General features: G+C 32.8%; 2 pseudogenes; both read right to left on the bottom strand.

Moving 5' to 3' along the window:
• Positions 1-820: 820 nt before the first annotated feature.
• On the bottom strand, positions 821-13848 carry UGT2B25P (UDP glucuronosyltransferase family 2 member B25, pseudogene; annotated as a pseudogene).
• On the bottom strand, positions 15002-15701 carry LOC100422190 (UDP glucuronosyltransferase family 2 member B10 pseudogene; annotated as a pseudogene).

Below are 17230 nucleotides of genomic sequence, written 5' to 3'. Positions count from 1 at the left end.
AAATAGAAGGAACCTACATTGAAATATTGAGGGCGGGTTCCCCTGATACACACACACACACACACACATATATATATACACATGCATTTACATACTACACCATAGAATACTACTAAGCCATAAAAAGAAACAAACTAATGGCATTAACAGCAACTTGCATGAAGTGGAAGAGCATTATTCTAAGTGAAGTAATTCAGGAATAGAAAACTGAACATCGTAAATCATCACTTATAAGTGGGATCTAAGCTATTAGGATGCAAAGGCATAAGGATGATGTAATGGGCTCTAAGGATTCAGATGGGAGGGTGGGAGGGGGTGAGGGATACAAGACTATACATTCAGGGCAAGGTACACTTCTCACATGATGTGTGCACCAAAACCTCAGAAATTACCACTAAAAAATTTATCCATCTAATCAAACACCACCTGTTCCCAAATAACTATTGAAGTAATTAAAATATGAGAATAAAATCAACCAGATAAATACTTTTAAATATATGGAAAAAATATAACTTGCTCATGAAACCAAAGATGTAGAAAAATAGTTCAATTTTACAGTAGGAAACAGGTAACAGTGGCTATATTTCTAATTCCACTTAGTTTCCACTGAGAAATGACTTAAGCTCTTAGAACAGTAAACATTTGGCCATCATTTTTAGCAAAAATGTTACAATAAAGCTGCATGCAGCATAAAAGGGAAGCAATACTACATATCTCAAAATATCAAAGGAAGAGAGAGACTTTCTATACAATTTAACTATGTAATACTTTCTTTAGCAACAGTTAAAACAACAGAATTCTGTTCAAAATGAAGCAAATTATTCTGAGTATGTGCAAAACAGTACTGATACTGTCAGTAGACTTCTTAATGTTCTTGTGTTTATGTAAAATGTGTGAAATATAGTTAAGCTGAGTAAAATTTTTTTCATGTAACTTGTGAATTCAAACAACAAATCTCAATATAAGTGCAACAAATTTCAATATGAGCTCATATGGCTTTATATTATTTTTTATTTTCCCTAGTGTTTTCCTCATTGCCACAAAATATTTCTAATCATTACCTGGGTGGTAAATCTCTGAAAAACAAATTTTTACTTGACAAGGTAGATTTCAAAAAGATTTTTTTTTTTGTCATAGGAAGAAAGAAATCTTTCATCACAATCTTTCTTGCTGGAATAAACTGAAGTCATCCCATCTATCAGGTTTTCCAGCTTCAAATGTCGGACATAACTAATCCCTTTTTTCCTTCTTCACTTTTCTAGTAAACTTCCAGAAACAAAACAGACAACACTTTGTGATGATAAATGTCACAGTTGCCACACAGGCCAGCAGAAACCCAATCACATCCAAAGAGTGGTACTGGAACCAGGTGAGGTCACGGGCTGCAACTCGAAGGTGTTTGGCTCCTTTGTGGCGCATGACAAATTCAATCCAGAAGACTGCTCGATCCAGGGGCTTCACTGGTTGATCATGTTGAATTCTTGATAATTTCATAACACTCTCTTTATATCTGAAGGATAAAAATAAAGATACGAACACAGAAAGCAAGTTAATTTGCCTGTAGATATCAAGTCTATGTAAGGCTTTTAAAGTGTCAAATAATTCAAAGTAAATGTCAAAGAATTGACAGAGAATTTGTATATTTTAATTTGAGTCATCATAGATAGTTTGGCTTTTAAATTGGACTTTTCTAATTGACAAATATTTTTAAAGTAGAAATGGAAGGTCAGGGGAGAAACTTAGTTCTTTTCAAGCAGAGAAAATATAAGGCATTTTAATTGGTTTTTAATTGTTTAATTTTAAGTTTTTGTGGGTCCATATTAAGTGTATATATTTATGGGGTACATGAGATATTCTTTCTTGCTACAACCCAAGGCATGCGTCTCTCCCTTTTTGTGGCTTCCCTCTAAGTGTTACCTCTAAGAGAGGCTTTTACTGGCCAGACTATGATGGAGCCTCTAGGATTTTCTCTATTTTCTGTGCTTATTTTCTATTTGTTTCCTAGAATTTTGTAAATGATTTATATATCTCTCAAAATATATATTTAAATATAAAATACAAAAGATAAATATACATACACTAAGTGAATAGTTCAAAAATGGAAGTTCATCTTGAACATCATCTTGAGGTGAAGATACCAATTTAACTACTGTTCAGGTCATGGTATAGGCTATCACAACCTGCCTAGAATGACTCTCTTTTTCTGAACCATTTAGTGACTACTTTTGGCCTCCAACTAAGGATTAGCCTGACTTCGAATAACAACATTAGTTTTGCTTGTTTATGTAATTGAATTATATAATATGTACTCATTAGTGTCTTTTTCTTTAATGTAGCAGTTCTTAGGTAATTCCATTGCTATGTAATATTCTGTTGATTGATAAACCACAGATGATGTCTTCATTTTATGATGAATAGATATTTGGGTGGCTAATAAGTTTTGGACACTGTTGATAATTCTGTCATGAACACTCTTCTATATAACATTAGATTTATATATTTACGTATATCTGTTGGGTATATAATTGAGAGCAGAATTACTGAGATAAAAGTTCATGCATACTTATGATTTACTTCTTGACTTTAAATTTTTTTGGAGTGTATTTTGTTAATTTCCAAAATTTAAAGATATTTTAGTAATAGTATTTTTAGCCTCCCTTATTTCCACTATGGCTGGATCATATAGTCTTCATGATATTGAATCTTTTTATATTCCCTAAGTCTTGACTTACTGCCCACCACATATCACTTCAAGCAACAATTAACTATTTGACGTACTCTAGGAAAAGTGTAAAGGAAATGTATTAAAATACACAACAATATGAATTAAAATAAAAACCATAAAAAACAACAAAAAATTAAGCTAGGTGAAATGTCATTTACACAGCACCCAAGACTGTATGATTCCATTTATATGAAACACCTAGAGAGAATAATCTATAGAGAAAGAAAAAAATTGGTGTTAGACTAGGACTAAGCAGTCATGAGAAGTGATTTTGGTGTCATTGAAGTTTCTTTCGTGTTGATAAAAATGTTCTAAAATTATATAATGGTGATAGTTTCATGACTCTGTAAACATAGTAAAATATTTGGATTTTATGGCATAAATAAGTGGATTTTAAGATATCAAAATTAAATCTCATTTTCAAGTAAGTAACATTAATGATAATAAAAATTAATTTTTCAGCAAGAAAATAGTTATATTCTAAGATATTTTGGATATTTAATTAAAACATTTTATTATATTATTTCAAGTTTATTCTTCCTTTCTACTATGGATTCATTATGTTAAAATTTTAAGAAATGTATTTTTTATATTATCTATATCATTTTAAAATTATTTTTGTTTATAAAATTGTTTCACTAACTGGTTTCTCATTAGATATATGGGGCAAATACAATTTTTAAATAACAGATAAAAAGCAAAGCAAATTTCAGATTGGTTAAATCGTTTAAATTCTTGCAAAATTACTCCCTTATAAAAAGGATGAAACTCATCCTCACTATTGACAGGAGAAGCTATCCACAAATACCACCTAGTGAAAAATATTGTTCTACTCACAAAGGAACATTAATTACTGTCTTCAGTGCATTCAACAAGTCTGTACTCGACATTGTGTTGAAGTCCAATCTAACAGCTGCTCCCTTGGCCTTCATGTGAGCAATATTATCAGGTTGATCGGCAAACAATGGAATGCCCAATATAGGGATCCCATGGTAGATTGCCTCATAGATGCCATTGGCTCCACCATGAGTTATAAAAGCTCTGGTTTTTGGATGACCTAGGATTGGATGAATTTCAGCAAAATTATTCATAGGAATAAAATGAGATGCACAATGAAAGGCTCTGAAAGTGACAGTGCTTTCTAGATAACACATTGAACTAATTTGCTATTACTTTTCAGACTTCAGACGAAAAAGCACGTACTTGTTTAGGAGATGTAACTGAAGGCTATATGGTGTGTGTGACTTCAGACTGCAAAACTTAATGCAAGATTTCCAGTTGCACTAATGAAAAGTGCATTCTAGATTTTTTAAATGTGCATAAAAGAGGACAGCAAAGAGGCATGAAACGAAGTGTTATTTTAAGTACAGTCACAGAGTGTGATATGTGGGGTGTGCAAGGCAGCAGGCAGTGGGTTGTTGGTGGTGCTAGGATTGAGGAAAGACAGGTTACACTTCATCATGAAATGTGTCATTACTTTAAGATTAAGATTAGGAATGTAGTCCTCCGGAAAATACAGAGTCACTGATGATAGAAGAGCTATTATATTTAGTGGCATTTGAAATAACCCTGCAGGAGAGGAGAAAACAGGTGTAAAGTTGTAGAAATAGGAGACAGAGAGAGAGCCCAGGAAGATACTGAAAAATTCTGTGAGATATAATAACACCTGAAGTAAAGATTCTCTCTGATTCTGACCATAGAGAATGTGAGTGTATATCATAAAATGCCAACAATTATAGCATATTCTTTTCCCCCTAGGACTGGAAAATAAATATAAAGAAGTTCTTTTTTGTTTTCCTATAACAAATATTCAATAAGCATGTTTCAAGATGAACTATTAACATTCGAATGTGCAGTTACTAATATATCCAGTATTTGTTCACCAAAGTGTTACCTAGAAGGTCATTCTGGGATATCCACTCGTACAGCCAAGTATTGAGACCTAAAGCATCTGGTTTATTCCCATCAAATCTCCACAGAACCTGTTATGGTAAAGAGAATATCTTATTCCATGAGTGGAACTCAAAAATTGTAGCATGTTAGAACTGTAAAAAGGGTAGGAATGAGATCAAGGGATGTTTGTAAATAAATCTACTCAAAGACTGATGTAAAAAGAATACTCACATGTTATTTTCTTAACTTTTATAATGATTTAGATATATAAGAAACCGTGATTTTCCAAAATAGTACCTTAGAAAAGTAAGATTGTCAATGAAAAGTTCAAGTATTTAAAAAATTGTTACACTTTTTAAAAGAAGACCTACCTGCGGCCAACCATCATATGAAGAAAAAAAACTTAACATCACAGATCATTAGAGAAATTCAAATCAAAACCATAATGAGATAGCATCTCACACCAGTCAGAATGGCCATTATTAAAAATTCAAAAAATATCATGATGTTGGCAAGGTTGTATAGAAAGGGAATGCTTATACTCTGCTGATTGGAATGTAAGTTAGTTCAACCATTGTGGAAGACAGTGTGGCCATTCCTCAAAAACCTAGAGGCAAAAATACCACGAAACCCAGCAATCCCATTACTGGGTATATAACCAAAGGACTATAACTTGTTCTTTTATAAAGATCCATGAAAATATATGTTAGTTGCAGTACTATTCACAATAGCAAGGATATGCAGTCAACCTAAATGACCATCAATTATGGAATGAATAAAGAAAATATGGCATATATACACTACAGAATATTATGCAGCCATAAGAAAACAAAAATATGTATTTTTCAGAGATAAGGATGGAGCAGGAGGCCATTAGCCTTAGCAAGCTAACATAGGAATTGAAATCCAAATGTGACATGTCCTCACTTATGAGTGGAAGCTAAAAGATGAGAACACGTGGACACATAGATGGCAACAACATACACTGAGATGTATAGGAGGGTGGAGGGTGGGAGGAAAGAGAGGATCAGGTAAAATAATAAATGAATATTAGTCTTAATACCTGGGTGATGAAACAATCAGTACAACAAACCCCCATGACACAAGTTTACCTATCTAAAAAACCTGCACATGTACTCCTGAACTTAAAAGTTAAAATTAAAAGTTAAATTAATTTAATTTAAAAAATAAAAATATTCTAAAAAAAGTTAAAAAAATTATAGGAAGTCATTGTAATTCTAGTGTAATAAAACAGTAGCTATCTAGTAATGACCTATATGTTTTTTTATGTATTTTTTATCGTTTTCATCTCCAAATTTAATTGCAGTGTATTCATTTGTTTTTGAATAATAAGAGAAGAAGTTCAAATGTATCTACTTGTCGGTAGGTTATTATATTAGAGCCTGTTGTCCTTTGATTGACAAAATAGCAAGTCTATAAAATAAGCTACTTATAAGAAATAAATAAATGCTGTTAGGGTTTTATGTATAACTTCATTAGAATTACAAATTATCAAGCACTACTTCCAAGAAAAATTTCAAGTGACAATTTTTGACACAAATTCAGAATATTACCAGTATTGTTAATTTTGGATTTTTTTTTGGCCTAGAAATGAGGAACCTGTTGGTATCATGAATACAAAAAAAGCTATTGAATAAACTCAAAATTGTATTTTGCGGAATTTGGTCAACTGATTATTAACACTTAGACAACGTGCTACAAAGATTTGACAACAGTGAATAATATGTTCTGCTATAGCCAAGACATTTTTATTTTAAGTTACTAATTTTGAAACTCCGAAGCAATCCTCACAAACTGAACAATAATTTACAGTGTTTAACTTTTATTTGCTACATCAGTGTTAAAGTAACTCAGGTTTCAGCAAAAAGTTAGAGGTCATTACAAGAAAGCTTTATCAGATAGGAAATTAAAAAGTAATTCACAAATACACAAAGGTCCCTTGTTTATTTTATATAGAAGAAAATATATTCCTACTATGTTCTATGGAGGGGACATCTGAACCTGTTCCCCCACTTGGCTTCCTTCTGTTTGACTCCTTTCTATACTTCCTTCTGCTGCCTCCATTGGGAGGAGTTGTTAATCTGGTAGTTAGTGCTGAGTCCTTGTGGGGCCACATTTTATACTGGACAGGATCCACCTTCAGGTCAGGATCCATCTCCATCCTTTCTCTTTCATCTTCCTGCTTCAGGCAGTGTTCTCTATTTGTTGTCACATATTTCACATAAGCATTTGACTTAAAGTACAAACAGAAATAGTACATTCCTTAATTGTAAACATTCACCAAGAGCTTCCAGAGTACAATAAGTAATAGAGGTGGCCCAAGAGTAAGTCAAATCTTCTTCACTTCACTCATTGGATACTGCTGAGATTAGCAAAACAGCTTTGAAGAAAATAATCATAAGTCTTCCTTGTATTTCTACAAAGACACAGTTCTGGATATATATTTTTAGTTGAAAACACCTAAAAGTCATTCTAAAGACTACATTAAGCACCATTTTCACCTACCTGGAATATATTGAGTTAAATTAAGCAGTATGTATGACTGTTAATATCAGAAATTAAAAATAACCATGAGTCTCAAGTTCCCTTTTGTGGATACATACGGGGTACTGAGTTCCCACTGGTACTAACAGGAACCACTCAGGCATACCAAGGGCAGTAACTACCCCAGGGCCACATGTAACCACTAAGTCTGAGGCACAACTATTACTTGTGTCAGTGGAAGCTATACAAGCATATTTAAGGCTGTATTTGGCTGTAAAGAGTTCAATCTACTCTTAATATTCTTTCTATATGGATCTCAAGCCTCTTTCAGTAGTTTTCCACACCAGTAAGGTACTTTATCTTACCTTTTGTGGGATCTTGGCCAGGGCTGTTGCAATTACATTGGCCCTTTCTGCTGTCATGTTACTTATGATTGACCCCAGAGAAAACACCACAACACCATTTTCTCCAGAGCTCTGTACAAACTCCTCCATTTCCTGTGAAAAAAAAATTGTTTCATCACAAAAGAGTATCACCACAGCAGGCACTACTAAAGAACTGGTACCAAATATTAAAGAGAGAAAATCAAGTATTTTGAGGAATTATTGGAGTAAATAATATTTTTTAACTGACTCAATCACTCAGTTTCTTTGCAAGAAGATATTTGAGATAGTTGGCCTCTGTTAAGGATATTTGTGTAAATATGTGTGTATATGTATGTATGTGTCTGCATGTGTGTAATGGAGAAAAGAAATGGAGCTATTACATTGTAGTCAGGGAGATAATGTGAAAAAATATACCCAGACTCTTCACTTATAATACTATAATTACTAATATAAGTTCTTGGAAAAGTGGCACCACTAGGCTTTAATCCTATATTTTTGTTCTACTAAATCACTTGTGTTTATTTCAGGCAGGTTTTCTGTAGAATTCTTTTAGTTTGAAGACATTAGTGGTTTTCTTCCCTAAATATGGGCACTGAGGAAAAGCTATTCACAGTTGGGATAATTTTATATCTACATTTATGTTCCTCTACAATGCTTTATGCTTCACTTAAAGTTTGTCAGAGTTTTCCAGTAGTTTTTCAAAAAATGAAAATAAAAGCTGGTGGTTAAGAATCACTGACATTCCTGAGTCTAGTATTGTGATATGGAATTTTTATGAATCAGTCCTGAGAGTCTCATTTATCATACAGAATTGTAGAGTTTATAGTTAATAGTTGAATAATTGTACCTTTCAGGTTATTGTTCAGGTGGAGCACCTATTGCCCTGAAATCACACTGTTAAATTGATGTGCTGTTTATAACTGCATGTGAGGAGCTCTCATCATCACTTTGTTGTGTCTCAGAGGCAGCACTTGCACCAGAATAGAAGAGGCCACCAGGCCTTTCTGCAGGGGATCTTGTCTCTCTTTTGAGTAGCTCACGCACACCACATTACACTCCTGGTGAAGATGTGCTTGGCTGCAATTGACTGAGAATTATTCTGATTTGAGTTCCCCAATGTATACCAATATTTAAATTTAAATATTTTCAGATTTAATCATTGGGGTAAAACTTTTCCAAATGGTTTTTAACAAAACAAAGAAAAAAATGTCTAAATGTAAACAGTGCACCACATATGGCAGAGTGTTTTTTAAAATATGATTTTTAATCTTACGTTAACGTGAGAGTCCTTGTACTACTATTCCACGTAATACCTGGGGCTTCTAGGTGTTGTGTGTGATTGCAGTCATCTGTAGCCACATTTAATGTAACTCGTTTTCAGTGTTTCATCTCACTGGCTTGATATCAGAGCCTTGTTTTTCTACCCAGTGTTGAAGGAATCTAACCTCTGTTTAGAGATTCATCACTGATATTGACTGCTTGTTTCTCCTTTTCTGATAATATTATAAAAAATAATACAAAATTAATGTAAGAAATTTTACAAAAGTATGAAAACTTTTTTAAAAAATAATTTTTCTAAAACTTCTACCTAGAGATATTATTTATAGAAAATATGGTTTTTTATTATAGCATATGTCCTATTTATATAGGTCAATGTATACATGTGACACTTATTGAGAAAATTTTAATCTTCTTATTGTATATACATTTCCTCCTGCAAAAACTTGCCACCTTGTTATATTTATCATTTTCTAACTCTATTTGTATTATGGCTGAGGGTGTAATTGAACATTGCATTGATAAAATTATTTTAATGCTATTGTATGCACATAAGTTTTAATCATTCTTTCATGTAAGATGTTGGATTACTTCTAATGTTAATTTTGTGAATATTTTCCATAAGGTTTAATAGGTGCACCTTGATTTTTTTATGATTTCATGTGAATATATTACAAAATTAATAACAATATGCATTTTTTAAACACGATGCATTTTCTCAAGTGTCTTATTCTCTTAAAATATATAGAAATTATCTGAGAATGTAATATATAATTGAAAAGAAAGCAACCTGGGTTAGCAATTATTTTACATAATAAACAGTTAAATAACTGGTTTCACAACCATTGACTTGCATTCAAAGCTTTCTGCAAGTTAATAACAAGACCTAGTATTAGTAATTACCACTATTGTACTACTAGTCAACCTTTTTTCTTGTCCTTTTACACCTCCTACTCTCTTCCTCCTCCAATTTGCACTGTCAGTTTCCCTTAATGTGAATGGGGAAATCTTTCAAGAGTAGTGTAGAGTGGCACAGAGTTTTCATTAGTCTTTACCTCAGCTTTTGTCTCTTGAGAAAGTGACTATATAAAGCCCATACAATTTGCATTAAACAGAGATACTGAGTTTTAACAATGGAATAAAATCTCAGTTTTATGTAAGCAAAAATGTTCTTTTAAGAGGTTGAGTAATAATGCATTGAAGAAGGCTTTCTTTGTACGTATGTCTTAAAATGTGATATTAATTTAAAATATATGTGGTTTTTGTGTTCCTTCAAAAAGAATATAATCTTATATGCTGACAGAATTTTTTTTCATATTGAAACTAAGGGCACTATTCAGATACAAGTGGTAGAAATTATTTGGTCTTTATTATACATGGATTGTTCACTATCTCTGTGCTTCTCTGTCAGGCACCTATGATGTTGAGACAAGTTCCCCCAGGAAGCTTTACTGAGTTGCTTGTCATAAGGCAGACATCGTCTGCTCTAATAGGGTATGTTTATGATCTAAAATGTAAAACTCTGGGATCTCAATGCAGAAATGATTTAAATACTTTATTAAAGTCAAGTGAACCCTGGGTTTGTCTGCACATATTTAAGGCACACATTTATATTGTTGAGGAAGGGTTTTAAGCTGGAATACTGGTGAAGATCCTTTTTACTTATGGTAGAATTTTAGAATTTCAAGTAGCTCAACTTGCTGTCACAATTGATATGTCTAATTTTAATCAAGTCCACAGGGTATCTGTCATCTATGACTTTGCAAGAGAATATAACCTTGATGTGCTGAATAATCTGGTTCTCTTAAATGAGGAATGATATCTCAAGTGACTTGCACATGTTAAGTAGTTAGTAGTATTAGTAATAAAATAACCATAATTGCAAAATTAATAACATTTCTGAGCCACTGACTGTATGCCAGAGACATTTTAAGTGTTTTGTCTGTTTTAATATTTTTTTCCACACAACACAATATGAATTTGGCACTATTTTAGTAAATGTAGGCATAATTATTTCTATCAACATTCTAGTCCACTTTTCCATCATCTGCTACCTGAATCCATGCAAAATTTCCTGAATGGTTGGCTCTTTACAGTGTGGCCCTTCTGTAATTTAATCCATTGAATATCTTGGAGGCTTTTCTTAAAAAAGAGAATCATTTCATATATATTTATTTCTTAACTCTTTTTAGTAGTTTTTCAATATTCTTAACAAATATTTCCACTCCTAATACATATCTGGCTCTAATTTACCTCTTAATATCATCTGATTCTTAATCATTCCCTGAAAACAAAACCTGAGGACTTGAGAGCTGTCCTGACCACTTTATCTGCTTTCCCTTTTTGTCTGCCCCTCCCCGTCGTTCTTTTACCTATTCCTACATATTGTTCAGATCTCATCTTACTAATCAGTAACTCCAGGATACTTTCTATTATCTCCACTGATGCTTTCTTGACATTGGGTTTTTCCTTGAGATAATAGTTTTTTATAACATTTTCATTAATTACTTATATTCTATATTTCAAAGTAGAATGTAAAGTATGTAGGGACGGAAACTGTGTCTTTTTTTTTCTCTGAAATTTCTGCACTTACTTGTGTTTTGTGCTAATCCCTTTATAAATATTCTCTGAATGAATGATCAATACCTTCTTAGGTGTTGCATAATCAAGACTTTACTTTAACCAACTCTATTTTCAAAGTCTCCTTACTATTCCTCTCTCTCTGTAATATGCATAAAACTCACATATGTGTGATGGTATTAACATGTACATGAGTTTCTAATTGGTATCTGCTTTACACCACCTACTTCCCATCTTTCTTTCAGTGTAAGTCAAACATTCTGAATGAAAACTATAGACTCATTTCTACTGAAACTTCGAAGCCAACAAAATAAAACCAACGAAAGTATGTTTATCTTAGGTAGGGGTTTGGCAGGTTTGCAGTGGAGTCCTCCAACAAAATCAACGTTTGGTAAGAAAGGATGAGGAAACTGAAAATTCCAGGAGTTTCGCATAAGCCATATGTCAGCTTTCCCCATTGTCTCAAATAAGGTAGTGGGTCTTCCTGACAGGAATAAAGAAAAGAAAAAGTGGATGACGTAAGATAATTACTTTATATAACTTTCTCAAAGGGGTTAGAATAACGTAGGCAAAGATGTAGGTAAAGTTTGTGTGCTTTGAAAAATATATACATATATTCATATATATGAATAATATATTTTTATGTATTATATATTTTGCCCATGTTTATTTATAAGAAAGGCAAAGTGGTGGGAGAATTATGAGGTTAAGCTACATCTCTAATGTCATGTCAGTATACTCACAATTATTAAAATGAGTCATAGATAATTAAACATCAATTTATTTTCTCTTTAAAGCTTCAATAGTAGCATATAGATATTTAAACAACTCTTTGAGCTCCATAATCAATTAATTCTACTGTACCCATAAAAACAATTTTCTAACAGTCTAGTTTACACAGCTCATTTAGCTAATCCTTTTATCCTTGGTTCTTCAAGTGAACTCTGGACTATTTTGAGAGTGTGGCAGAAATCCTTGTACCAACTACTCATTTGGATTTGAGCTAAGATCTTAATAATATTACCTTTTAAGTAAATATATTTGTAAATTATAGCTAGATATTTTTGAGAAATTATTGAAATAGTGATCTGTACTCAAATTTAATCTGTCTCATATTTTTAAATAAAGAGACATAGCTTCAAATTAACTATATAGATCTAACAACCTTCACACTTCAACAAGATAATTGGACTTCAAATGAATGAATTCCAATTCTTTAGTGAAGGAGTATAGAAACATTAGAAACTTCAAATTACCCTTATTGATTTTTGCATCTGAGATGTAGACATTATCTCTCTCTACTGTGAAGGAAACCTTCTGGTAACGTGGGAATATCTTTTAATTTTTTAAAAAGAAAACTGAGGTTTACAAGGAAAAATTTCTGCCATTTTATAGATTGCTGTAGAAAAATGTGTAATTACTCATTCTAAATCTATACATTGGGTAAGATGTTACTTGATGGATTTTACTGTTTTTAAGATCTAAAACATTATATAGTAAAACAGATGTGTAATTGCTTAAAGTCTTAGGTGTACTAACATATAGGTTTATGATTTCCTGGGGTGTTCTGTATGAGTGATGGCCACAGGGTTTTAACAGACCTTATAATTTAAGCTTTTCTATAATGTTTGTGAGATTGATAGATCATCTTGTATTTTCATTTCATAAATTCACTTAACAAAAACTACACTTCCCTGTCTTTATGGCTTTATATAAGCTTTGCTTCAAATTCTTACCTAAAACTTCACTGTAAAACTGATCCCACTTCTTCATATCACACATTTGGAACCAAAAGTCAAAATAAATCACATAGATCATATTTTTTACCCTCTCCATGAAAGTCATTTGATCACTTAATTTTGACATAACAATAGGTATGTAGGAAGGAGGGAAAATCAGTCCTCCACTGTGCCTTTCAACTGTGTAGCCAGGAGTAAAGCGGAGACTGTACACAAAGGGTATGTTAAATAGCTCAGCCAGCAGCTCACCACAAGGAAAAGAAGCATCTGCAAAAATGATGTCAAATCTTGACTTGTAGTTTTTTCATAAGTTTCTTATTTGAAACTACATCTTTACAGAAGTTTCTAAATATGTCATATAATTCCCACAGGATTTCTTGTTCTTGTGAAAAATATAACCAAAAGCTATCTTTTCGAATGTCTGACCATCTCTTAACCTGTTGCATGACGATATTCTCAAATTCAGTTTTAGTTAAAGATGTAGGATAAACTTCAAATTTAAGAGTGGATGCATCATTGGGATCAAAAAGAATGGAAGCTGAAGATGCCAGTACAGTCACCTCATGACCTCTCTGAACAAGCTCTTTCAGGATTGTCTTCATATTCATCCAATGGCTGTATTCTGTGGCCCACACCAGCACCTTTCCACAACTCCCAGAGCTAAAGTAACAACTGAGATGTATCAGCAGAAGAACTGAAGTCCATTTCAGAGCCATCCTGGTGCAATGTGATCATTCTTTTCAAGTCACTGTTTCTTTCTCATACTTATATACAGAGATAAATCAATCAAGTTAAAACATAACTCCTTCAATTCAAAGTAAATACATTATATGAACATCCTGAGTCCATGGATGGCAAGAAGACAAACAAAGTTGGATTACTTCATATTTACTCAAGGATGTTTGCTGTTTCTTTTATGTTTATATTCGCTGTCATCCACCTAAGATTATGACCTTGCAAGTACCCTGTTTTATGTAACGTATTTTATAATAGTGTCAAGAACAGTGGCAAGTGAGAGAGTCCTGCAGGGCCCTTGACACAGAGTAAGAGATGAAATGACTGTACAATGCAAATAGCGTTTTTGAATATCGTGGTTCAAGGACTATCTTGTAAAACTTTGTTGAAGTATAATCCAAATACCGTATGCTCCATCAATTATTATTTTAAATTAAGTATTTCCTTGTAAATTCACAGATTTGTGCATCCAACATAACAATGAGTTTTATCTAAAAAAAAAAAAAAATCCTGTATATTAGCTCTCTTCTCCCCACTGAATTTCTGCATCCATCCTGCACTGGGCAACTAGTAATCTAATTTCTCCCTCTACAAATGTACCTATTCAGGATCTTTTTAAATATAAATGAAACTATACAATATGTGGACTTTTGTGGTTGGCTTCTTTTATTTAGTTTAATGTTTTTAAAGGACCGACCATAGAACAGTGTAAATAAGGACTTCATTTTTATTGCCAAATAGTATCAGATGCTATTTATAAACACAATTTATTTATTCATTTATCAGTTGATGGATATTGATTTTCTTCCACTTTTGGCCACTATGAATAGCATTTATTAACAGTGATGTGCATCATTTCTGTGGACATGTTTTTATTTTTCTTGGGGATATGCCTAGAAAGGCAATTACTGAATTATGTGGTAAATGTAAATATAACCTTTTGAGGAATTGCTAGACTTTTTCAGAGTGAGTGAATAATTTTCTATTCTCACCAACAATGTATGAGGGTTTCAATGTCTCCACAACCTTGCCCACCCTTTTCTTTCACACAACCAAAAAGGTTATTTTTTATTTCAATTTATAAACACACTCCAACAGACACAAAAAAGGAAGGTTTCCTTCCACATATTGGAGGGAAAAGTGAATAAATTAAACACTAACTTACCTAATACTTCACTGTAAAACTGATCCCACTTCTTTTTGTTAAAAATCTCAAATGCAAAGTCAAAACGAAGAAAATGCAACAGATTTTTCACCTTTCTACAAATGTATTTTTGTACTAAGTTCTGATATGACAACAGTTACATCAAAAGGAGGTAATGTAAGTTCTCCACAGAGTTCTTGGTACATACTGCCAGTTGTAAATTGATGATTGTAGACCAAATGTATAACAAATGTTTAACAGATTAAGTTGTTCAGATAGCAGCTCACTACTGAGAAGTGACATCTGCAAGAATGACATAAATTCTGGAATCTTGTTGTTCCTCATAATTTTCTTGTTCAAAACAGCATACTCACAGAGCTTTTGAACAGTATCAGAACATTCATGATATGTAGTTTTTGCATCTTTGAATCATATGTCAACAATATACTCTTTGGAAACTTATATGTCCACATCTTGATCAACTTCATAAAAATGAAATCAAGTTCATTCTGAGTAAAAGATGTGGGATAAACCTCAAATTTAACAGCAGATTGTTGGAATCAATGAGGATGGAAGCTGAAGGTGACAAGCACAGTTACCTCATGGTGTTCTGAGCAAGTTCATCAAGTATCAACATTAAATTGATACAAAGACTGTATTTCATCGGCCACACCAGCACATTCTCGCAGGATTCAGGGCTAAAATACAACTGTCAGCATAAGAAACAAAAAAGCCCATTTCTTAGACAACTTGTTAAAATGCTATCTTTCTTTATACCTTTCTCTAACTGGGTACATATCAATATCAATCAATGTCACAATGATTTAAGTATTGACAATAGAGGTTTTGGAAAGCAAGTGAATAAAGAAAAGGATGAATGATTTTGTGTTTGTATGTGTGAATAATCAATTTCATTCTTATTGTAAATGTGGCTGTCTCCAGAACAAGAGATAATTTAATTGTATATGAAGAGTTTCTAGTATAAGAAAGCAGCATTGTGTCAACAGTGAGGCAGGGGTGTGATCTATTCTTATTTATCTTAACATTCTCAAATAGACCGTCTTCATTTCCTCTACGTATTTTCGCAATTATGATATTAGCATCATTTCATGTTTCTTGACATTGTTTTTGTGACTATAGAAATTCATTTTCTTTTTATCCAAACAGATATGTTTTAAGTATAATTACAGTTACTTTGCTTCATTTGAAAATATTTTGTCTAAATCACAATATTTTCTTTTTCTGAATATTTGCAGCATTCCTTACGTTTCTCACTCTTAGAAAGTATTTATCTTCTAAATGCCCACTCCTGAACTTGTTTCACAGATTGCCTTGTAATTCAGGTAATTTGTACTTTTAAAAAGTCTCACCAGAAATTTACATCGAAGTAGAATTAGGAAGGAAAAGATGCATGTCACAAAATATACAAATTTATTTTTATTCTATTAATAATCTGTTAACCTGAAATGAGGTAAATCTTTCTTAAAAGGATGTTTGAACACAGTTTCTGAGCAAATATTGCCTACAGAGTGGCAATATTGTTCAATATTTTTAATGTCCTTGAGTGCATGCATTATGTGTCACCCAGATTTTCCCTTTGGGAATATATAAATTACTTTCCAGCTGATGAAGTGACTGACAACTGACATACATCACCTATAAGCGCTCTCTCTCAGTACAGCGCTGCTGAAAGCTATCTAGTATAAAGTGACCTTTCCAAGACAGCCCATATCCAATGCCTGGACATATGTAAGACTTTGAAGGCCCATTCTCCTCATTTCAATGTGGACCAACTCTGAAAGGCTAACTTGTCTTCAGAACTCCCAGTGGGTGAGATGAACCCTATGCTGAGACTGCATGTCTTAGCTTGCTCAGGGTGCTATATAGAAAAATACCATACATTGCCTAGCATATAGACAAAAAACATTTATTTGCCACAGTTCTTGAGGCTGAAGGTTTCACAATCAAGATGCTGGTATTGGGCATTCCTCCAAGATGGCAGCCTGTCACCTTGTCTTAATGGGGAAAAGAGATGAATGTGTTCTTGTGAGCAAATTTTGGAATGAAATTAATTCCACTAATGAGGACTCTGCCTTCGTGACCTAAACACCTCCTAAAAGGTTCTGTCTGCTAATACAATCATTTTGGTTATAAGAGTTTTAACATATTAATCTTTGGAGCACTCAAGCATTCAAACCATTGCACTGAATTATATCCTAATTTGTTCCACAGTCCAGTCTTGCTT

The sequence above is a fragment of the Homo sapiens genome, chromosome 4 (assembly GCF_000001405.40).
Source record: "Homo sapiens chromosome 4, GRCh38.p14 Primary Assembly".
NCBI classification, from domain to species: Eukaryota; Metazoa; Chordata; class Mammalia; order Primates; family Hominidae; genus Homo; species Homo sapiens.
This window is presented reverse-complemented; position numbering and strand designations above follow the sequence as displayed.